General features: G+C 36.2%; 1 protein-coding gene across 3 annotated transcripts in view; it reads left to right on the top strand.

Moving 5' to 3' along the window:
• LANCL3 (LanC like family member 3) overlaps positions 1-24,299 on the top strand; it is a 112,803-nt gene extending 88,504 nt beyond the window's left edge. For 2 of the 3 annotated variants that reach the window (NM_001170331.2, XM_011543904.3), the window contains exons 4-5: positions 7,118-7,325; positions 15,490-24,299. In NM_001170331.2, the coding sequence (NP_001163802.1) occupies positions 7,118-7,325; positions 15,490-15,649 (368 nt within the window). In that variant the 3' untranslated portion in view covers positions 15,650-24,299. Of the gene's footprint in view, positions 1-7,117; positions 7,326-8,203; positions 8,287-15,489 lie in introns of all 3 variants that reach the window. The other variant, NM_198511.3, reaches the window with a different exon arrangement.

Genomic DNA, 25,121 nt, shown 5'->3' on the forward strand with positions numbered 1-25,121 from the left:
TTGGATAGTGCAGATCTGGAGCCTGGCAATTCAAAATGTGGCCCCTGGAACCAGTAGCATGAGCAACTGAGAGCTTGATAAAAATCCAGAATCTCAGGCCCCACCCTAGACCCACTGAATCAAAATCTACATTTTAACAGTATCCTTAGACAAATCGTATGCACTTTAAAGGTTGGGATGCACTGTTCTACAACTTCTTCAAATGAGAATTTCCATCAGTACCAAACAAAATGTCTAGAAACATGAATAGTCATCCCCAGTAAACTCTGTGGAATTGAGGCTAGAAATTTAGCAAACCCTATCTTTTTCCCACTTTTAAAAAATTCCATCACACTGCTATTAAGCCTTCACAGAAGGGGTAATTTGAAAAAAAGTTAAATTCAAATAAATAAATTAATATTGGTTAGATGGCCAGGGGAGAGATTTAAAATACCAAAATAATACAAAATTCTTAGATTCTGAGTCGATTTAATTTTCAAGGCCATGCTTCAATCCCACAAGCACAGTTTTAAAATATATTTGATTTCTCTGTAGTTTTTTTACCTGAGTTTCATTACCTTTTCCTCCCATTAATTAATGGTCTTTAATCCAACTATAATTTCATTTTGGGGGGTACAGTTTGAGTTGATGAATAATAATCCTTGAAAGTATAGTCTTGAGTTGATGAATAATGTAAGTCGCAGTGTATTGGTCATATTTTTTCTGCCTGCTACATTTACCTATGGAAGGAAGTTCAAAATGTGTGCTTGTACCAGTATCCATGCATTGTGTGTTATGTCCAGGCTAACTTCTGCCAATTATGATTTGAGCCCATTTCTTTTTAATTTGACCTTTTTTGTGGGCGGGGGGGGAACAAGTTATTTACCATGCTGGAAATGATATTTCTTCTTGTTAGCCTCAATCCTTCCATTTCTCATTTATTTTAATTATTCTCAGTGATGGTCTCTGGATATCCTCCAAGCATACCAGCAAGGATCCTTGAATTTTGGAGACATACCAATTTAAACACAGAATATCTTAAAAGGATTCAATGTGCTAGTAATAGTCCTGAAAAAAGTGGGAAGATAATCTACTAAAATGAATGACTGGGTCAGTTAATTGATGTGGGTGTCTTGCAGGGCAATTATTCCATCCTTTCTGTATACTAAATACCATCTGTCTTTGTAAATCATTTACCGTAACAGTGCAGCATAGGATTCATCACTTTGGAGACTATATCCTCCTTTATCATTCATGTTCAGTATCTAGAGAAGATTAAACATAAGTTTTAAAGAAAAATCTTTCAGTCCATGTATTCACTGGACTACCAAAAATAAACCAATTCAAAAATGAATAAAAAACTAAGTGGGGCCCATTATTTTACCAACCCCTATCCCCACCTCAAGGGTATTGGTCTTTCTTTGAAGAGATGCTCTAAAAACAGCATCAAGATTGATTATAAGTCTAATCAGTGCAGTCCAAAGACCACCAAGATTTTGCAGAGGTTGGCAACATCTCCAAAAATTCTATGCAGGAAACGAACTATAAAATAATTTTCATTTATTTAAGGAAAACATTTTTGAGAGTAGATTTATGAACAGTGCAGATGGTTTGAGGCAGCAGACTAATTCTGTGATTAAAAACCTGCCAGAAATAATTCACAACGTGGAGCTTCATTAATGATACCTTATCTGTTCCTATAATTGTTTCCTACTGGTGCTCCTTCAACCCACCTCCACAGGTGACAAGCCTAGTTATCATTTATGCAGTGTAGAAATAGTTCTTTGAGTTAATAACTCCAGCTTCTAATTTCAGCTCCAACACTAACCAGTTTACTGACCTTAAGAAAGGGTGACTTTGTTTCTTTAGTGCCTTTGTCTCTTTATCTGTGAAATGAGCACTTTGAGACTGAGTAGTGGAACTCAATCTTTTTATCACCACAGACCCCCTTTTATACTTTGGTCCTTTGCCATTCCTGAGGGCTGTTCCTCAAGAGCTTTGTGAACAAGACATTTTTAAATACCTTGTGTGGCATATAGCTTTTTTCTCAATAAGTGCAGTAAAGTATTACAGGAAGATTAATGTGACCCCTTCATAACCTTGACAATTCTGAAATACAGGACCAAAGTCATTTACAAAATCATTAAAACAAATGCTGTGGCTAAAAGAAACTCTCAACCGCATTAGGTTACATCATTGCTGTGGTAACACTGACAATGCATTTCCTTGACTCTGCATGAAGTACAGGAGTGGGTATTTTTTTAAAAAAACTCATTTCATAAAAGCTCTTGGGTAGGTGACTTTGAATAAAGAACAACAAGGCTTTTGCAGTGCAGATATCGTTGGTCATTAAGCTCTGTAGTGCGCACTGTACAATGCATGCCTCAGCGGAATTACACAACCCAGAATGGACCTCAGTGGTGATTCTCCAGTGTGTTGAAGCTATACGTGCCAAGTGTGGCTGTCACAAGGTCCTATTAGATCCCATATTTTCAAAAGTTTAGTCTCTCAAAACATATTTATTAAGTAATAATTCTTTTTCCCAGTTGCATTTGGCAAAGTCATACATCATTACTGACTCAGGCTTCTTATCAATGCACAATAATTAGTGTTCCTATGATGAAATGATGTGGCTCCTGGTTCCTATCAAAAGCAAAGAAACCCACCATTCCTTTTTTTTTTTTTTTAATTAAGCAGCCTTATTGTGGCTTCCATTATGCTGGGTTAGGAGCCAACAGGTTTACTAAATTTTGGTTTAGAAGTTTTGCGAGGTCACTTCCATGTAACATTCTGTGATCCAGGATGCAGGAAGAGGCTCTTTCACCCTGGCCAGAACCACAGGATCAATACCTTTTAAGCGTTCTGGGGCTCATGGCCTGGTACAGCAATTAGACCATCTCACCCTTCTTCCTTCTACATCTCTCATCTATACCCCAGTATCAGCCTGTGCTGGGTTGAGAAATGGGGCACTTTATGGTCAACAGACATGTATGAGGTTCTTGGCATTTGCCAGACACCATGCCACACACTAGTGGAACAAAAGTGAACAACATACAGTTTCTGCTCTTGAGTAGTTTGCACTGTATTAGGGGAGGCAGCCATGGAAATAGGTAATTTTAACTGGGTTCTGTGTAAGTGCTAAAGTTTGTATAGGATCAATGAAATCTCAGAGGGGTTCCTCATGCTGCCTTCAGGTCCAGGGAAGGCTTCCTGGAGGTTGTGATGCCTAAGGTAAGTTAGCCAGATCAAGAAAGGTACAAAGCTTGTTCCAAGCAAAGTGAACCACATTGGTAGTAAGAAGCATGGAAGCACTGTAGGTGGTTTGGTTCTACTGAAGTGAAAAGTTTCAAGAAGGGAATGGAGGAAAAGAGGTGGGAAAATAGAAAAGGAGCTCAGTCACAAGGGGCTTTCTGTGTCATGCTAAGGCATCTGGGTAATAGGGAGTCATTTAGTAGTTTAAGCAGGGGAATGTCATGGTCAGATTACGGTCCTAGAAAGGTCATTCACTCTGCCACAGAATGAATTTAAGGCATGGCAGACCTGGGGACAGGAGGCTAAAGCAATCATCTAAGAAGGACACCTAGAGCCTGAGAGAGGCCAGCAAGAGCAGGGTCTTCCCACCCACCTTCCTTTGATTGGCTGTAATACCCTCCTTCTTCACCAAGCTCTTTCCTCAGGTTCTAGAATTAGAGCTTGGTATCAAGAGGAACCTGTAAGGGAGCAGGGAAGCAGAACAGGCCAAAGAGGAGCATGTCTTACCTGGAGACTAGCTTCACCCTGAGTCTGAGGAGAAGCTAAGAAACACAGTTTACATCAAGAAGCTGGGTCTCTCTTGAGGCAAGGAAGTCAATATTTTGTATCCCTGTGTCATCCCTGTGAGGGGTGGCTGCATAGCATAGCCTCTCATTTGTCTGAGGGCAAATCTCTCAAGAAGATGCAGCAGTGAGCTTTGTTAGTTGCCAACTTTCACAGGAACTGGGAAATGAGGCACTTGCTGGCAAGGTAAAGCTGATCCATGCAGGTCATCAACAGCATCCAGTACACCTTGCTAATTCCTTATCAACCCCCAATAATCAGGTTAGATGGTGTCACCCCTCTAGTAGTCATCTCCTTCTACCAAGTGTGTGCTAGGGGCCCTCCTGTGTGCTTCCATGAGACTTCTATTTCCCCTCACATAGTCTAATTAATACTTCCAGTTAAGCTGAAAAACACCATGAAGATAGATGCTTTTTAAAAGCTTAACACCTGCTACTGTGCCTGGCATATAGCAGATGCCCAATTAATATAGAAACACTTACCAAGTTCTGTGAAATGTCTCTTTCATTGACTTTCTATTTTTTTAGAGAAGCTTTTTTTGTTTCTTTTTTTTATTGAGGTGAAATTTACATAATATACAATTAACCACTTTATTATTTTTTATTTTCTCCACTTTTACTTTGATTCAGAGGGTACATGTGCTGGTTTGTTACATGGGTAAATTGCATGTCACTGGGGTTTGGCGTACAAAGGATTTTGTCATGCAGGTAGTGAGCATAGTACCGAATAGGTAGTTTTTCAACCCTTACCCTCTTCCTACCCTCCCTCCTCAAGTAGGCCCTGGTGTCTATTGTTCCTATCTTTGTGTCCATGTGTTCTCATCATTTAGCTCCCACTTATAAGTGAGAACATGTGGTGCTTGGTTTTCTGTTCCTGCATTCATTTCCTAAGGATAATGGCCTCCAGCACCATCCATGTTCCTGGACATAATCTCTTTTTTTATGGCTGCATAGTATTCCATGGTGTGTATGTACCACATTTTATTTATCCATTCCACCACTGATGGGCATCTAGGTTGACTCCATGTGTTTGCTACTGTGAATAGTGCTGTGATGAACATACACGTCATTGGCTTCATTTTTGTCTTTCTGCTAACATAACCAGCTCACAGCTACCCTGTTACCCTTCTTTAGGTCTCTCCTGATACCACTAAAATTGGGACATTTTGTCCATAATAATCACATTGTCATATAAAAAATAAAAGCCAACCAATCCAAAGCAAAAACACTTCCATTGATTCCCTGATGACCACAGAGTACAGTCCAAGCTATCTAATTAGATTTGTAAAACCATCCATAATCAGAACCCAGTCTAGCCTTCTTCCCCACTGGTCTGTTGGTTAGAACATTGCCCCACTAGCCTTCATGTGGCTTCTTCCTGCCTCCATGTCTTTGCCCTTGCTAATCTTAGTGCTAGATAGAATGCCCTCCCTGCTTCATCTTGGGCCTGGAATTCTCTATGTATCCTTCAAAGTTCTGAAAAAGTGCTCCTTCCATTTAAGGCCTCATCTAACTATCTCCGTAGGGAACTTCCACCTTTCTGATTCTGCTAGTATTATTGAGAGAACCATTTATTTTATGTTCCAGCAGCATCATGAAATATATATCCTATTATGTATCAGTCATATGCATATATTTTTATCTCCCTTTTTAGAGAGTGCCTTCCTGAAGGGTAGGAGTCATGTTTAGCATTTATTCAATATCACCCAGGGCTGGAACTGACTATATAATTTGGGAGGCCCATAGCAAAATGAAAATGCAAGTTATTTTTAGAAAAATTATTAAGAATTTCAAGGTGGTAATAGCAGAGCATTAAACTCAACATGGAACCCTTTTAAGGAGTATGGGCTGTAGGCCTGCACAGGTGGCATGCCCATGATTCCAGCCTTGTCTAGGGCTGTGCGTACAGTACATAATCAATGACTACTCTCAAATGAATGGATGCAATGAATGAATGAATGTATGAATAAATAAGTTCAGTTCTTTTAATATCATCATTTAGTTTGTGCAAGGTACTTTGTTCCTAAAACTGAGGTAGGAGAATGCTGTAGGTAAACATTGTCAGTAGTTGACTGGAAAGCATTGACTGAACAAAGAGCTTGTTGCTTTGTAAGTATTAACCACAGGCTATATTAAAGGATACACTTAAAAAGGGTATGAAATCATGACTCTCATACAAATATAAAAAGAATATGTATGAACCATTTTACTGAGCTCATTATTTAATGAGGGAACCAGAAAGATGTTACAACTGTTTCAAAGGGAAATCCAAAGAGTAGACATATTTATATAGGCCATTAGGAATGCTGAAATAAATTTGCTTAATAGATGCAAAACTGGCTTCTTCCACAGAGGCAGAGGGAAGTCAACCTCTACCAGACAGAGTGTGAGTTTCTAGGGACAGAAAATATTTACATTACTATCAGTTTTCTACAAGACAATTTCTATCTCTACAGAGTTGTAAAATAGCCTAGTCAAAGCAATGAAAGGCAATGATAACCCTGATTGATGAGGTAGTCAAGATACCAGCTATATTTCAGTCTTTCACACTTTTTATATAGGAGAAAGGTAGGCTATGCAGGAGAGAATGTGATCTTGTGATACCAACCTCCTCACTGAATATGAACACCCAGAACTTGGGGAAAATCATTTCTATTAATAGCTGTTGCTTCTCTTGTTTCTCTTGTAACTGATACTACTTTTGTTGAAGAGCTTTGAAGGAACAGTTCTTTCCTTGGAACAATCAGGGTGGGAAGGACTCACTTCACAGCTAAAGTAGAAGTCTTGGCAAGATCCTTCTGGAGCATTGTTTTTCTTGGAAAAACTCCCAGTTTTGCTTTTAAGAAAATGTGTATAGTTATAAGTACTTAAACATTACAAATTTTAAACTACAAATTCATTACAATACAAATATTTAGCCATTTCAAATAACCAAATATACATAATGCTTACTAGAGTATGCGTCATTAAATATTAACCCATTTGTAAATTAAATTTTAGATTTTATCAATCTATGTACGTCAATAAAAATGTTGCTCTTTCTCCCGGGGCCAACCCCACAATACAATTAAAACAAATTAAAATCTCACTGGGAAAATAAGATTCTCTTATAGAACATTCTAGCACCTTCCTACTCAAAGTGTGGTCTTTAGAAGGATGCTTGTTAGAAATGCAGTATCTCAGGGCCCACATCAGAACTACAATATTAGAATCTGTGTTTTACCAGTACTCAGGTGATTCATGAGCTTTTTATTGTTCTGGAAGTTCTGCTCCAAAGTATTAAGTCCTGAAAGTCACCTCTAATATCTTTGATGTTTTCACAGGAATTGCCTATCTGTTTGCCAAAGCTTATCTGGTTTCCAAGAAACCGCAGTACCTGGACACATGTATTCGGTGTGGGGAACTCACATGGCAGAAAGGCCTGCTAAAGAAGGGGCCTGGGATTTGCCATGGAGTAGCCGGCAGTGCCTATGTCTTCCTGCTGCTGTACCGGCTCACGGGAAACTCTAAATACATCTACCGAGCTCAAAGGTCAGCTGTTCTTTATGGGTCTTTTTTTTTTTCAAAATTTTAATCTAATTATTTTTCTGAATTACTAATATAGTCACATGGTTTGAAAAGCATAAAAATAAATACATCAACTGTGCCTTGTAGCCATGCAGTTGACTTCCCTAGAGACAGTTTCTTGGTTATCTTCCCAAAGATATTCTATATACATAGTGTATAAGTAAATGTCTTAATCCATTTGAGTTGCTATAAAGGAATACTTGAGGGTGGGTAATTTATCAAGAAAAAGTTTCCTCTGGCTCATGATTCTGCAGGCTCTACAAGAAGCATCACTAGCATCTGCTTTTGGTGAAAGCTTCAGGAAGCTTCTACTCATGGCAGAAGGGGAAGGAAAACAGACATCACATGGGGAGAGAAGAAGGGAGAGAGGAGGAAAGTGCCAGGCTCTTTTTAACAGTCATCTCTTGGGAGCAAATAGAGTGAGAGCTCACTAATTACCAGAGGATGGCATCAATCTGTTCATGAGCAATCTGCCTCTATGATCCAACCATCTCCCACTAGGTCCCACCTCCAATACTGGGGATCAAATTTCAACATGAGATTTGAAGGGTCAAATTTCTAAACTATAATACATATATATGTGTGTGTGTGTGTGTCTTAGGGGGATATTTAGGTTATTTCTAATATTGTGTACTACAAATAATGCTATGATGACTAATCTTGTGCATATATAATTTTGCACATGTATAGGTATATCTGAAAGATAAATTTCTAGAAATGAAATTGCTGGACTATATATATATATATATATCCTAGTTATATATATAAATATATATATCCTAGTTATATACATAAATATATATATATTTATAATTTTGACAATATAAAATTTTCCTTTATAGTTCATTCCCTGTAAACTTGATAAAGATGGAACATCTGCTGTATACCAGACAACATTGCTTTTAATAGATATTACCTCTGACTGGTAAGCTGGGTAAACTGGGCCAGGAGGACCATAAATGAACTCTAAATAATCTGATAGAAAGCACAAGTAGGGGCTTCCCTGAATGCAGAGTGGCATGAAAGTGGCATTCATTTTGAAGGGACTTAGAAGCTGTCCATAACCATGAATGGTTACAAAAGATATTGTTTTCCTTTGTGGCACTTAGGTCTTCTAAGCCAGAGTGTTCTCTCATACCCACCCATGTAGTCTGGTTCCCATGAATCTGAGCTGTCACTTGGCAGAGGTGGGAGGGGGTCCTAGAGTAGCCCCTGTACTGTTGTGAAGATTCCCACTGAAAGTGTACAGCTGATAATTATCAAATTGATTGTGTGACATTTAACAAATCACTTATTAAAATGAGCTAAGTGACTGTTAAGTGATCTTTAACAAGGTCACACAACCTTTAACAAGTCACTTAGCTCATTTTAACAAGTGATTCTCCATTTCTTCATTCATAAAATATGGAAAATAGTGCCTACCTCATAGGGATGTTTGGTAGTTTAAACAAGTTAATGTATGAAAAATCATTTAGAAATAATGCTTGGCATATAGTAACTGCAATGTAAATGTTCATTGTTATTAGTATAAATTTGAGTTTTATAATTCCAGACTTTTCTTTATGTGTAAATGTATGTTCACATAAATGTATATGTGTACATGTATATTTTAATGAGCTCCTACTACTATATATGTATAATAGTTCTATACATACTGTTTGTAGCTTATAATTTTATTTATTTATTTATTTATTTGAGACAGGGTCTCACTCAGGCTGGAGTGCAGTGGTGTGATTTATGGCTCACTGTAGCCTGCAACTCGTGGGCACAGCTCAGCCTCCTGAGTAGCTAGGGCTACAGGTTCATGCCACCATATGTGGCTGATATGGTTTGGATCTGTGTCCCTACCAAATCTCATGTCGAATTGTAATCCCCAGTGTTGGAGGTGGGGCCAAGTAGGAGGTGATTGGATCCTGGGGACAGAGTTCTCATGAATGGTTTGGCACCATCCCCTCTTGGTACTGTATAGTGATAGAGTTCTCAAGAGATCTTGTTGTTTAAAAGTGCATAGCACTTCCCCCTCCCCTCTTGCTCCTGCTCTGGCCATGTAAGATGTGTCTGCTTCTCCTTCACTTCCTACCATGATTGGAAGCTTCCTGAGGCCTCCCCAGAAGCAGAAGCTGCTATGATTCCTGTACAGCCTGCAGAACTATGAGCCAATTAAACCTCTTTTCTTTGTGAATTACCCAGTCTCAGGTATTTCTTTATAGCAGTGCAAGAATGGACTAAAACAACAACTATTAATTTTTTGTATGCAGAAACAGGATCTTGCTATGTTGCCCAGGCTGGCATTGAACACCTGGCCTGAAGCTATCCTCCTGCCTTGGCCTTCCAAAGTGCTGGGATTACAGGTGTGAGCCCACCACCTCCCCGCTATGTTTGCAGCTTATAATTTTAAATGAACAATTTTTAAGGGACATTCTTTATTTCATTTTGTATGAATCTATCTCATTTTTTAAAATGGCTATATAGTTATTCACTATGCATGTATGATAATTAACCAATCCTTAAATAATGGACACTTGACATTTGTGTAATCTTTAATAACACAAAATTTCCCCAAATATCCAATACATACATTTCTGTGCACTTGTGAAAGCACTTGTCAGAAATTTTAGAATTGAAGTCATTAGATCCATAGGTATTTCTTGGTCTATAAATAGCCTGTCTTTATCCTTTGCCCATTTTTTTCCTGTTGTGATGCTTCTATTCAGAATTGTAACTCTTTGTCAATGTATGCTGTAAATACCTTCCTGCTTTGCCATTTCTCTTTTAATTTTGTTTGTAGCCTTTGTCATACCAAAGTTTTAAGTATTTTTCTTGTCAAAGTTTTCAATCTTTTCTTTAAAATTTCTAGATTTTCTGTTATGCTTAAAAAGACCCTTCCCACTTCAGGATTAGAAAACTATTAATTTACATGGGCTTGTAATAATTTTATGATTTTAACATTAAAATTTTTGATTCTGCTAGAAATTACTTTTTAAATGGTCTCAGATAGGTATTTATTTTTGTTTATTAAAAAAAATTCTAATAGCATCTGTTGACCAGTTACCCCCATGATTTGAAATTCCATTTTTTTATAAACTGAATTTATATAAATATATGAGTTCCATATTTTCCCCATATTCCACCTATCATTCTCTTATTTATTCTTTTAATTGTATTTTAGAGTCAATTTGTCATATTTTTAAAAAAGCTCACAGAAATTTGATTGGAATTTCATTGAATTTACAGTTTGCTTAATGAGAATCAGCATCTTTAGAATATTGAATTTTTCCATCCAGAAACATGGTATACCTTTCCATTTATTTAAGTTTAAACAAATGTCATTGGTAAAGTTTTGATCTTATGAAGAAGATCTTGTATGTTTTTTGTTAATTTTATTCCTGGGTATTTTATGTTTCTAGGTTTATTGTGAGTGGACTCTTTTCCTTCATTATATTTTCATATCATTTATTACTGGTATTTATGGAAGCTTTTAAAACACACATCACTGAAGTTTATCAATTCTAATATGTAATTTTTCATATAAATATAGATTGTATCTTATAAGTATTTTTCTTTTCATAAACATCATAATAATATAGCTGCCTTAATGAACTCCATTACTGTTTCTATTAGTTTTTTATTGATTCTATTGGGTTTTCTAAATAGATACACACATATCTGCAAATAACTATGATTCTGTTACTTCCTTTCTCATGTGCATGGTATTTTTTTTCCACTACATGGTTCTTCTCTATAACAATGCAACCCTATAACAATGTTCAATAATAAGAGGGATAGTAAACACCCTTGCTTTTATGCTGATTTTACTAGGAATGCTCCTATGTTTTACCGTGGTCTTTTATATTCACTTCTTATAATGTTTATCATTATAAACATTAGATTATAAGTGTTAGATTATAACACTTCTCTGTTCAGTGTAATCCAACGGCTTCCCATATGATTCAGAGTAAAAGCCAGTCTTTCCTACGAATGAAAGGTCCTACATGATCTAGCCTCCCATTACCTCTCTAATCTCATTCCCTACTCTTCTTCCTCCTGGTTCTGTCTACCACTGTGGCTTCCTTGTAATTCCATTAGGATGCCAGGTACACTCCACCTCAAGACCTTGGAAGTTTTGGTTCCCTCCACCTGTAATGCTCACTTTCTACGTATATCTCCTAGCTCCCCCATTTCAGTCAGACTTTCACTCAAAAGTCATTTTCTCAGAAAGGCCCTCCCAAGTCAACTTATCTAATATTTAATGTTTAGAAAACATAAATTATTTTTTGTGATATTTACATGAATGCACTGAAGGGCAAATACTAACTTATGTAAGTCTTTGATTTGAAGCTCTGTTGTTTAGGAAATCTGTTAATATAATTGATTCATGGTTTCTTAATCTCTTTAGGTGGAAGCCAGACCTGTTGTTTCCCAAATATAGAAAAAGAAAGTAATTTTGGATATCATCTAGGCTAGTGGGATTTCACCTTTGGGCTAAATTTCATCAGAAATGAATGAAATTCATTTATTCCCTATAAAGCGTATTAAAAGGGATCAGAACAACCCCTCTATTTTCTTTTTTGTAATTTTTAATATTTTAATTTTTTAAAATTTGTGTAAATGTATGGGATTCAAGTTTAATTTTGTTATTTGGATAGATTACATAGTGGTGAATTCAGGGCTTTAGGGTATCCATCACTCAATGAACTTTGTACCCATTAAGTATTTTCTGGCAGGCCAGTCCTAGCTTACAGAGTCTTGGTTATAAGATTTAGGGTCCAGGTCTCTTTAGACAACTTACATTTCTCACTAACAGGTAGAAGACTGGAAATGTGGAGGTAATATCTGAGTATTGTTTGGGCATTGTGTGAACAAAAGTTCTCTGAAACGGAATGTGTAGGAAAGACACTATTCCAGTGAACAGTTTGCAAACAGAGGATACACGGCCTGCGGTGTAAAATGAAGCAGCCTTTCAGCGCTGGGTTTTATAGCAAAGTTGCCTGCCCAGGGTCAGGTCTTTTTATGCAAATGAAGGATTGAATCTCAGTTCCGATTGGTCAGTGCAGCTGAGCCCTGATTGGCCATGGCAGGTGACTCTGATTGTTTGGCTTAGGTGTGATCTGATTAGTTACTTTCCAAGCTCAAAACCAGAAGTCTTTGTCACCTGTTTCTTCCAAATGGCGGGTGGAGGGCTGGCATATCTTGGCACTCACAACGGGAACTGGTTTGGAGAAAGGTCCTGTGATGCTTTTACAACGTCTTTCTCAGAACACAGAGTACATGATCACTCCCTCACCCAGCCATAGCTGCCTGGTTCTGTTTTAACTTGGAGCACCTCAGTTTGCCATGGGGAGCCCATTTTGTCTGTTGGCTAGGGGCATACTTTAACAATTGCATGTTAAAAAATATGTACCTCCCTAAAATGAATATTACTTGGTTGTCACCTATTATTTTTTAACATACAGTTGGATTTTATGGCTGCATAAAAATATTTGACAACTTCTTAATTTTCTTTTATGTTTATTCAATCACTCGGGTTTTCTACCTCTTCTTTTTGGTAGTGCACATATTTCTATAAGACCATCTAGTTCTTATGAATTTTCAAATATTTGACATAGAGTTCTAATCATATAGTTCCATAATATTTTTAATTTCCTATATCTGTGGCTATGTGCCCTTTGTGATTTCTAATGCTTTTCCTTCCTGGTGAGCTGCACCAGTGTTTTTTCTGTCTTGTTAATCCTTTGAAGGAACTGGCTCCTGGTTTTGCTTATTAATTTTTTTTGTTTTTCTCTTTTGTTTTCCACTTTTACTTCCTTTTATTTTGTTATGTTCTAGAGTTTATACATGCTGAATTAGAAAGCATTCCATCATTTTATTAATAATAATGGTAACTCACAGATCTATGAATTTTCTTCTGCATTCAGTTTTGGTCATAATCAATGGGTTTTGATATGAAATGTTTTCATATTTTATTGTGTCTTCTATTCTTTTTAGTCCTGTAATTAGCATGCTGACTTCTATTTTGACTGAGAACGTTTTAGAAAAAAAAATTTGTTTAATTTTGCACCACTGGATAGATTTTTGAAACATTTTTCACAAATAATAACACAAAATACAGGTCAGAATACAATGAAACTGCTACCCTCAGACATTGCTGGTACTATTTTAAGTTGCTATGTATCATTTAGAAATTATTTTGAAAAGCATAGAAAAATATTTAGCATATTTTTAAGTGAAAAAAATACAGGATACCAAATCATATATACTTTAATAACATGTAATAATGCAACAAATAAATGAGTGCATGGGGGAAAGGTCAGAAGAAGAGCTAGCAACATTGTGGGTTTCTTTTATACTATGATTTTACAAATCATCTTTTTGTTTTATAAATCTTCTTTTATTATATGTTTATGTAAAAAGTAATATTTTCTATTTATTGAATGCTTGCTATATTCTCAGAACCTGATATATAATACCCTTTATCTTTACATATAACACTATCCAGTTCTGCAACTTCACCATTTTAAAGTCAAATTGAGAAATTTGCCAAAGGTCATACAACATGAAATTATGGAATCTGTGTATCTCACTTCCAAAGCCCTTGCTCTTTCTACTATACCAGGGGTTCTTAATCTAGGATTTGTGAGTTTGCTTGACAAAGAGATTGTGTCTCAAACTTAAATGTAACATTTCCTTCTTTTCTGAATGTAGGTAGTAAGTCACAGAAGTATTAGTAGCTGTGACTTTGCAAACAATAGAATTCATAGATATTCTCATGTCATATTACTCTTGTTGCAGATATTGTAAAATCTTAATTTTACAATATGCAGAAATGCTAGCAGTTACTAAATCCACTATTGTACCTTGGAATTTAATGTGTTAGCAAATAATACATATGTTATTATATCACAAATTTGGCTTTAAAATTTTTGTTGTGTTTTAATATAATTATTTTCCTTTGGAATCCTGTGTGGCTTATTTTATACACTTGAAAACTTTTTTTCTGAGGAGCCCAACTGAAGCTATATCATGATGCTGGCTATATTATTACAAATTTAGAAGTAACTCTTACGATGCATTAATAGTCTACTGTTTAAAATTTTAAATTCCATTTTAAAATTGTTTCATATTCAGGAAAACAGTTATAGAAAAATTGTAACAAATATAATTACAATCTGTTTTCTGCTAATTTATTTTAAGTTGCCGTATGTAATTCTAAGAGCCCTAAAAAAATCAAATAAATAATTACCCTTTGTAAGACCCCCTATGTAGTAGCAGTAACCTAAATTTATGACAGTATCAGCGCTTGGGCCTTACCAAGCTGTGAACTCCAGCCTCTGAATTGGTGATTATTTGTGTTCTTGATGGGAATGAGTAGAGCAAGTCAGTAAAAAAAGATGATGTAGGTAATGGCACTTTGGAAGCTGTAAACTACTGTAAAAATGTTACTTGTTAAAAATAATCTGAATAATATTTGTGGCAAATATGGGTAAAAGAAAAAAGGTCTTTCATAGGGAATTTAGAGGCCTGTGATTTAATTTAAGGCGAATGTCTCAAAAATAATCTGTCTTGTAGCTGCGTTTGCTATATGATGTTATCATTGTGAAAGGTTGCTGCCTTTTCCTATTCATCTTATTCCCTTGTTTGCTCACAGCACAGATTGTATAAAATCTTGCCCATTTATTTTTACAGTCTCTGCTTTTTGTCATATATAAACAAAAACCCAGCTTAGAGGTAATGTCTGCAGAAACACAGCATATTTACTTTTTTAAAGGAACAGTCACGTATCACTTTGCTTCTTTTCAAGATAAATAAAAGTAGAGCAATTTGTCTGTCTTTTTTTACTTTAATTACTGGATGACAGAAAGAATGAGATCCTTGAAAATTCCAAACTGCTTTGCTTTGCAAACTCTAAGAATAGTTGGATTTGCTTGCCAGCATAATTTGTTGTGAAACATACACAGTTATATAATGGATCTTCTTCTTTAACAGAGAAAATGTGTTTCTTAAAATACTTAATTATATAATTCTGGAAAGAAAATTATGCTAAAACTTTAATAGAAGAGGAAGAAGCAACCCAAGGTCCATAATATGGAAACACTCATGTTAAACTGTTCATATTTTCTTCTTCTCTTAGGTTTGCTCAATTCTTATTTACCGAGGAATTCAAGGCCGGTTCTCGGGTCCTTGAAAGTATATACAGCTTGTATGAAGGCTTCTCTGGGACAGTGTGCTTTCTGATTGACCTGCTGCAGCCCAATCAGGCTGAATTCCCACTCTTCAGCGTCTTTGTTTAGAAGGCTCTATCTTCCACTGTGGCCCTGCAGAGATCCCCTGAGCCAAGCCGAGGCAGTTTCCACATAAGCCACATTCAATGGTATCGCAACCATGAGCCTTAACATTGCCATCAGAAGGAAGGAATCAGGCAGGTGAAGGCAACATGATGCCAGATTTGAGAAAGGATCTGCAAAATAAAGATACCACAATTCATCTTAAAACTGCAGAGATTTAATGTGTCAGGGAATAGATGTGAAACAAGGGATCATAGGAAAAGGGGAAAGAGAAATGATCTGTTTTTCAGTTATGACATAGAAAACCAAACTGCAAGTGTAGACTATGACAAAAAATACACTAATACCTTTGCAATCTGAATGAGAATTTGACCATTTGTGTGTGCCCTCTACCCTTAAATTCAGAAATAAAGACAATAAAAAATTAAAATAATTGCCCAGCTGAAAACTGCTATGAGGAATGGATTGTCAGGTTGCTGAAGTATAAAAATAAACTCTTGGTTGTCCTGTGCTTATACTTATTGAAATTTATGGTTTTTACTGAGCAAAGATATTTGCATATGAATCTCTATTTTTTTCATTACCCTGGGCAATTTAAAGAAATCATATCATAGCGTAGTTCAGATACTAAAATTTGAAGTTTCCTTAGGCCCTAGAACATCTCTTTTCCTGGTTCCTTTTTTTTCCTCAAAGCTCAATTAGAATAGCAAAATTTATAAGCTAGTAAACTTATACTATAGCAAGTGTTGCTGTAAAGTGTTTTTCTCCATAGGAAGTGTGAACTGTGTATTGTCTATTGTTAGTAATTTTAAAAATGCCTTTATGTACATAATCTTGATGGAGCTATTAGCTGAACTATAAAATATGCTCTTGGTAAATATCACTAATTTCAAAGATCAGGGGAACCACTACAAAGACGTGTCATTTCTGCCTTTGTTTGGGACAGGCAGACAGGCTGAGGAAGTCACCAGTGATTGTGGAAATAATTTTGCTCCATTTTATACTATTAAATGAAGAGATGAGTGAATTCTGTGGTTGGTTACCTTACCTTCCAAGATACAGGGTCCACTAGAAATTGGCTGTAATACTCATTGAGCCAAGTTGTCATATCAAATTCAACCCTGCTGTAAACACATAGAAGTTGTGAAACTGCTTCAAGTAAATAGTGGTTTGCAGAACACTGTAGGAGCATCTGTCACTTCATTATGCAGAGCATAAGTTGATCCTTTTCCTAGAATTTTGTCAGTGGCAATTGCATATATCAGATTGAGTAGGAAATTGTGTACTGTATAAGACTTATTTAAATAGTCATTAAATATTTGGATATATTATGTGTGTGTGTGTGTGTGTGTGTGTGTGTATGGTGTGTATTCCATATCTATTCCCATGTAAATCCAAATACTTATTCTTTATTTCAGTAATTCTTAACTTGAATCATAGACTTTGGAACGAGTTAGGGAATGCTCTGTTGCCTAAAAAGCAAACCTACAAGTATGTTGGTGTGTGTATGTGTATGGACCAGTTTGTTTGTGTGTGTGTGTGCTCATTTTGAGGGGACAAGGATCTCTAGCATTCATAACATTCTCAAAGAATCTGACCAAAGAAAGGTAACAACTATCTTTGTGTATTTTATGACTGTGTGTGTTTGCACTCATTGCAATAAAGTAGGACAAAATGATTTTGAAATGCATACATCTTTTCAGCTTCCTGTTTCATTTTTACATCCTCAGATACAACCATATCAAATTGGCCTCAGTTGTTCATCAGTGAAAATGCTCAGTTTGGGGTGATACCACATAAATAGCAGCTTTCAGATGACTCCCCACATTGGGTCCAGAAGTTCTTTCATATAGGCTGAATATAATAACCATCCTATATACAGAGCTTTATGGAACACATGCAGTTTTTATCGTCCAAGAACCCCTCAAGATGTGTTTGGTAAATGCTCCAAAGTCTTACAGCTAGAAAAGGACAAAACCAGGATTCAAACCCAGGGTTTCACTTTCTAAGTTTATTTATTCAGTATTCTAGACTAGAATCTGGGGATACAATAGTGAACAAAATAAACTTTCCCTCAAAGCTACCTTCTGTTTCCATTTGCTGTTCCTTTCACAATTCATCCTTGAGACCTGAAACCTAAAGCACTCAGAACTGATACTCTAGTTCATTATCATATCAGTTCCATTTCTAGTAACTTCAGAAAAACAAGACCACTTTCAGGCCTATCTGCCCTTTTAAGTTCTGATAGGTCTGATGATGATGTGCTAACCATTTTGATTTGTGTGTCAAATCTAAGCAAAGACCATGTTTGAGTATTGTCTTTATGAAATGACATTTCGGTAAATTAGAAACAACAATAGGCTTGTTTAGCCCTTAAACATGTTGATGAAACTTTTCATTTTCCTGAAAGAATTATAGATTTTGGAAGGTCCTCTTCTATATTATTTTTCCAAGAAGGGGAAAACGATTCTTACATTTTGCTGTAGGAAAGTGTGGCATGTTACTTCTTATTTAATTATCCAACTTGCCCCCCTTCTCTGTGGTAGCATTTTTAATGTAGTACTTAAGGCTGTTGTCTCTTAAAGGCTACAGGGGCATTTTCACCACCACTAGTATAACTTTAATATTATTTACTATATACAGCATGAGCAATTATAAACCCTGAAGGTAATAGTGGAAATGTTTGAGGATACATTGAAATAGTCTCTCAATAATGGGGAGACTGCATTATGCTTTGATAGCAAGACATTTTGGAAACCATTACAACTCTGTGTATTTTGTTTCATTAATGTAATTACATACCATCTCTTCCACACACACCCCAGAATATTATACATTTTTATTTTGCCCAAGCCTGTTTCAGTCATCAGTTTGTAGTCTTTTACTTCCACTTGTAACTTGATAACTGAGTAGAACAGGGGTTTGCTAGAGTATATTTCCCTGTGCTTCTTTAGGTAGTTGACTATGCTATTAAGATAACAGTATTTGCTTACTGATAACTTGAGAAACAGTCATTTTCTTGGTCTGTGCTAAATTGCATCTCTTCCAGTGGCAGCTTATTTCTTTAACTTTTTTGACATATTAAGATTTTAATCATGGTAATACTGAAATTGTTTCAAATTTGAAAGAGCGAACCTCAGTAACTTCAATGAAACAAATGGGTTTGTGATTTCTAGCCATGTTAAATGAACACACAATTAAAAGGAAAACCATTAGTGGTGCAAAGAGCCCTGTGCTGGAAATCTCAAAGTCTTGCTCTGCCACTTTTAGGGGCCACTGTAGTAATAATAATAATCACCCTGTCTACTTCACAGGGTTGTTATAAAAGTTGTCAATGATAAAATGGATATAAGTGAGTTTTTTAATGTGCAGATCCTTTATATATTTAAAAGGGATGTTATATTTTACCCACTATATACATAGAAAAATCATGCCCAGTTATGACTTCCAATAAGAATTTCAACCAAATAGAATCTCTATATGTGGATGTAGTGCTTGAGGTCTGGGTCACTAGATGGATAAAAACCAAGTGTACATTTTTTTATATTCTACCACCAGTCCTGAGCACAGCACTTTGCCTCAGAAGGTTCTGATTCACCAAGACTTACTACATGGGAATAGACTGATTTAGCTCAGGAGCTCCTTTTAATGCAAATATTTATTTTGCTTGCTGAGAACAAAGGATTACAGTGCCAATAACTCAAGAAAAGGAGCAGGCAAGCCAGGTCTGTAGAGAGAAAATGAACTGGAAAATAAAGTAATTCTGGGGTGAGTTTGATCTGCACTTTAATTCAAGTCTCAGAACCACGTGACATATAGTGATCAAAATATACTCTCAATTGCATATTAGGCCTTCCTTTGGGGACCTGGGCTATTTATTCAGCACTGTCCCAAATTAATAGCTAAATGACTGAGCCTCAAATTTGCCGAGCCCGTGTAATATTGGTATAAATTTGGCAAGGAAAGCAAATGAGAAGGCAGGCAAAGGGGTGGGTGAGGGGAAGCTTGCTGAAGCTCAGTATCTCAAAGTGAGTTGTGGATGCGTGTTTAACACTATAAAGAACCAGTCCATTCTTACCCATGAGTTTTATTGCTTTCTGGGACCTCTAACCCAGGACCACCCCTGATTCACCAACTTCTCCTTCTTCTCCTCTTTAAATATTATAGTTCATTGTGATATGTTTTTCCTGTATCTGCTCTATCATGTGACCTCCTTTCGCCTGGGAGGGCAGATTTTCTCCTTATCTCTTCCATCCATGTCTGTTCTTAGCTAAGAGTTCCAGCCTCAGTACAGCTGGATTACCCTTTGGACAGAAGGGCAGACAACCTCAAGGTCAGCAGCAACAGAAGTTGGGCCTAGTAGTCAGATCACAAGTGAGTGTGGCTATTCATGAGAATAGGGTGGTGGTGGCATTTATCCTGCTTCCCCTCCATAAATAAACCTGGTAATTTTATTTTTAATGTTACAAAAAAAGTTGATGCTACATTAAATGTTTTACCCTCATCCATTATCATAAATCTCATACTGGAGGTGTGATCTCTCTTCTTGTTTCTTTAATTGAAAGTACCAATGAATCGAGGCCTGGTGGATGATGCCTTTAGAGTTTTTTGTTTTGTTTTGTTTTTGTTTTCTTGAATCATTGAAACTTGTCATTTTTATCTAGACTCTTCCACAAATGGCAAAGTCACTTATCTGCAGAATTCCCAGAATCTTCTTTTGCCTTTGTGCACCTGCTAATTACCCCCTCTGAACTGAATTTGAAAAAATTAATTAAAATAACCGAATCACCCATGTTTTTGTTCTTGCAGGGTTTGGTGAGTTATGTGGATTAAAAGAACAGACTATCCTCTCTCTTTTTTTGTCTTTCTTCTCCCTGTCCAATACTGAGGAAGAAGAGGGAGAAGGGGGTAAAGATACATAAGGCTTAACTACCCAGGGTTATGAAAACAGTTTGCAAAGTCTTCCTGTTTGCTTCCCTTTTGGTTTTTCTTAGTCCCTGTAGGAAAAAGTTTACCCCTCTGTGTGCGAGTGTGTGTGTGTGTGTGTGTAAGTAGTTGAGTGAAAAAGAATGAGACTGACTTAAGGAGAGTCAATATCGCATATGAATCAAAAGCCAACATTTAGCTATTAGATAGATCTCAGTGAAAGGATATGTTCAAGCTAAGTTGATTAAGTTTATTAAACTTATTTATTAAGCTTGACTAAGCTTATTAAAACTTCTGCTAGGTTGAAGCCATTAGTAACCATCTGTAGAAGATAACAGCCATGAGTTTCACAAATACAGCAGCAGTGTCTGCTAGAATTGTGCTGTGAGCCACGAATGCAAACCACATATGCAATTTTCAAATTTTCTAGTAGCTACCAAAAAGGTAAAAGAAAAAGATGAAATTAATTTTAATAATGTATTTGACTTAGCCTTATATATCCAAAATGATAGCATTTCAATATGCAATCAATATAAAAACATGAATGAGCTATTTTACATTTTTGTACTGAGTCTTCAAACTCTAGTGTGTATTTTATACTTACTATACATCTCCAGTCTCGAAGTAGCCACATTTCAAGTGTATAAGAGCTGCATGTGAGTTGGCTATTGTATTGGACAGTCCCATTCCTGTTTCCTAGTATTGATAAAGTCTTCCTACCTTCCTTCGTTGTTATGGGAGAAAATGTAAACAGAACCTGCCTATTACACGAGAGCTGCAATATTTCCCCAAATGCAGCCCAGCAGTACCATGAGCTGCCCTGTGGAAAAATTTAATCTGTGATTAAATAAGTTAGGAAAGTTTTATTATTTTACCCCCTTTTGAAGATTACATGGTACATTAACATATTAAAGATTGAGTAAACTCTCCTGGGTAAAAAAACCTGTTTGACGTTGTTTAGTTGTTGAGTTCTGTGTCTATAAGAATCCTAGAAATTGCCACAAGTGTCTCTCCATAAGAAAAACTTTGTGTTTTCCTCTCTTTCTCCACTCCTTTTGGGGCCCATTTCTATTTATCTTTGTATTCAGAATCACCCGAGAGCCACAATATCTCTTTTGTTCTAGAACAACCACCTCCTAAATTGAAACCAACAGATGGCTTTAAAGTCTTGCACTTGGACATAGATCTTCAGAAAGTACCAAAATATATACCTTCCTCTTATTCTTTCAGAAACGGTGAACACTCTAAAAAGATGTGGGGGTGTGGTGGGGGATATGTGAATGTGTATATGTGTAAACACCAAATACATACAGTTTCTTAAGTAGAGTAATGCAATTCTTGCTGATGTTTTATTTTTATTTTTATTTTTTTATTTTTTTTTTTTTTTGAGACGGAGTCTCGCTCTGTCGCCCAGGCTGGAGTGCAGTGGCGGGATCTCGGCTCGCTGCAAGCTCCGCCTCCCGGGTTCACGCCATTCTCCTGCCTCAGCCTCCCAAGTAGCTGGGACTACAGGCGCCCGCCACTACGCCCGGCTAATTTTTTGTATTTTTAGTAGAGACGGGGTTTCACCGTTTTAGCCGGGATGGTCTCGATCTCCTGACCTCGTGATCCGCCCGCCTCGGCCTCCCAATATTTTTATATTTTGTGTGTGGTGACAATGTACATGCTTTAATGTGTACTGTTCTAGTAATATGTATGAAGTAGCTGTGACATAGCAGTCAGTTTTAAAGATACAGACTATAATTGACTACTGTCAATCTTTAACAAGTGATCTTTTTGCAACTTGGTTTTAGTGGGGTCTCTGACGTTGTCCCCACAAGTTTCATTTTAAAATCTATGCTTAAGTGGCAGTTACCAATATAATTAATTCTGCTGCTGAATTTGGTTCATATTGAATGTGGTAACCCTTATATGTGGATATATTCAAACATGTGGATTGATTTAGATCATCCGTTTTGTCTTTGTTTTTTAGGACTTTGCTATTTCAATATTAAAGATGTCTTTTGAATACTGTAGCAGCAGTAGAATCCCTATGTTCTTGAAAATGCAAAATGTAACATGAGTTGCACATAGACTCTCTAGCAGTAGAAATGGAATATTCTAAGTGCAGAAGTTTGGTTTTAGAATCTGTTAAGGAAGGACGGCCCAATCTTTGAAAAGGTACAGCTTTCTCAACTTTGAACATCTGGGGGAACTCTTCTTGGAAGTCTGAATTTTAATATCTTTAATCCAATGGCTCTAAATTAACAAACATTAAAAAATGGATTTCGTAGAATCAAATTATTAGGGGGAGCACTTTGCAAAGCCATATACTGGTGAATATATACTGGGTCAAGCACCACATGTTAGTTTTGGAATGTGTATTTCCCAGCGAATAGAATTTACTGCTCCAAAAAGCTTTTTTGGCATAAATCACAATACTTACAGAAATATAATTGTATCATTGAAAAAAACAAAGCTCACCTTCCTAATGATACATTTCACAAACTGCACATTAGGGCAATTTCTTACTTATGAGGAGGTACAAAGAAATACTCTGTCAATATAGTATAACTGCTTATTTCAAATTGTATCTAGGAATGAATAACTACTATTATTTAAAGTACTACTGAATTTTGAGGAACTGATCAAAGAATTAGTATTATTAATAAAATTGTACTATTTGCAATATATTTGCCTTGGCACAAATGCAGAGTTAAAAACATAAAATTATAAAAAAAAATAATAGTGATTGGTTGTTACTACTTTAAAATCCTACTAATTTCCATTAGCACTAAATCAAACAGCACTTATCTGTTGTATACAAGTAAAATTTTGAAAGACTCGGACACAAAATGAAAGGCTTTTTAAAAATGTCTTTGCCATAACAGGTTATATGACCTCTTGCTAATTGTTATATTTCCTTAGGGGCACTTTGAGGCTCTTTCAAAGACATCTGCAGCAATTAGGTCTAAATTTAGAGTAGAATATTTTGCCAGATATTTTACTATATCACAAAATGTCATACTACTGTATTTTATAATAAAACCAAATTCTCAAGTATTCTGGTATGTTACATATTAATATACCAAAACATCACTTTCTATAAGTCTATTATTATGTACATAATATTTTTAAAAATAATGGGTATTTTGGTCCTAGTGAAAAAGTATAATGCAATACATGACATTAATCTTTAGTCAAAACCCATTGAGGTGTCTGACAGGGAAATTAGCAATCATAAGCTATAAGATATATATTATTTTCAAGGACAAAATGGCAAATGATAATACAGAAAGACGTGATCACTGGAGCAAGTTAGCTGGTGTGCAGACTAAGAAGGATCAACTTGCAAATGCTCATCAGAATTTAGCTTTTGTTATTGGTTGTTCTGCAGGGGATAGTACTAGTCAGTTGATATTGCTTCCCTTTCATGTGGGAGTTTGCTCACAGCCCACTGCATGGTATAATGAAATCTCTATAAGCAAGATAGAGTCAGAAGCTTAGAGATGCACTTTATGGTTTTTACAACTGCTGTTACAATGTTCTAAACACTGTGATCTTTCCAAATGTGTTTTCTGTATTCGTTTTGTACTGTAGAAAATAATTCGCTATAAACTGGACTTTATAGTGTTTAAAGCGATGTTATTTATTGGCTTATTGCCCCTCCTTATAATACATTTATGTACAGTACACTTAATGTAAAACCTGTGATAATCCTTTGCCTTAAAATAAAATCTAATGCTAAATATTCAGTGTCCTGATTAATAATTCTAAGCTACCAATTTTTCCTTTAAAGCTAACCATGATGTCAAGTAAAACATTACACAAATACTCTGTGGAGTGTTGCTGCTGATTCTGTATTTGTGGCAGTGTATGTATCTTGGCCCAGGACATGGTGGCCTTCTGGGTTCTATAAATAGACATTAGTAATCCTTTTAGGGAAAGGGCCTGCTACCTCTCAGCTGCTGGCTGAATCTGCCCCTTAACTCATAAATGGATTTTCTCATGCCACATAAAAAACAGAAAAACAGCCCACCACATTCTCTCCCTGTACCTCTTTTTTGGTTTGATTCCTTTTGAATCTTTATATTCTATTTGTGTTTACATTATTTTCCTAAATAGAAAAATGCCAGAGATGCCTGAAGATTGAAATCACCCAATTTCAACAGGGGAAGAGATCTTATAATTATTTAAGTCTAATCCCTTTATGGAACCTGAGTTTCAGAAAGATTTAGTGACTTGATCGAGGTCTGAGGGACGGGGGTGGACTGAGTACATCCTGATATCAAGAAGATGGTGGAAAGTTCAATGGGCTAAAAGGAGTTGTGTTAGTCTTGGTATTGGCACACCAATAAGCAGAGGTCTGTCTTGGAATAAAAAAAACTACTTCCTTATTAGGCCCTGATCTTTGCCCTGAATTACTTACAGTTACAGAGGAATATATTTTGTAGGCAGTTTTTCTGGGAGGTAAGGACAGGTTCCTAGAGACGATCTTTGACGCCTTTTCACCACTGGAAGCAATGCTTCAGACCACTGTATTTGGAAGACAAAGGGACATGCTCACATGGCA

This window comes from Homo sapiens, chromosome X, assembly GCF_000001405.40.
Source record: "Homo sapiens chromosome X, GRCh38.p14 Primary Assembly".
Lineage (NCBI taxonomy): Eukaryota > Metazoa > Chordata > Mammalia > Primates > Hominidae > Homo > Homo sapiens.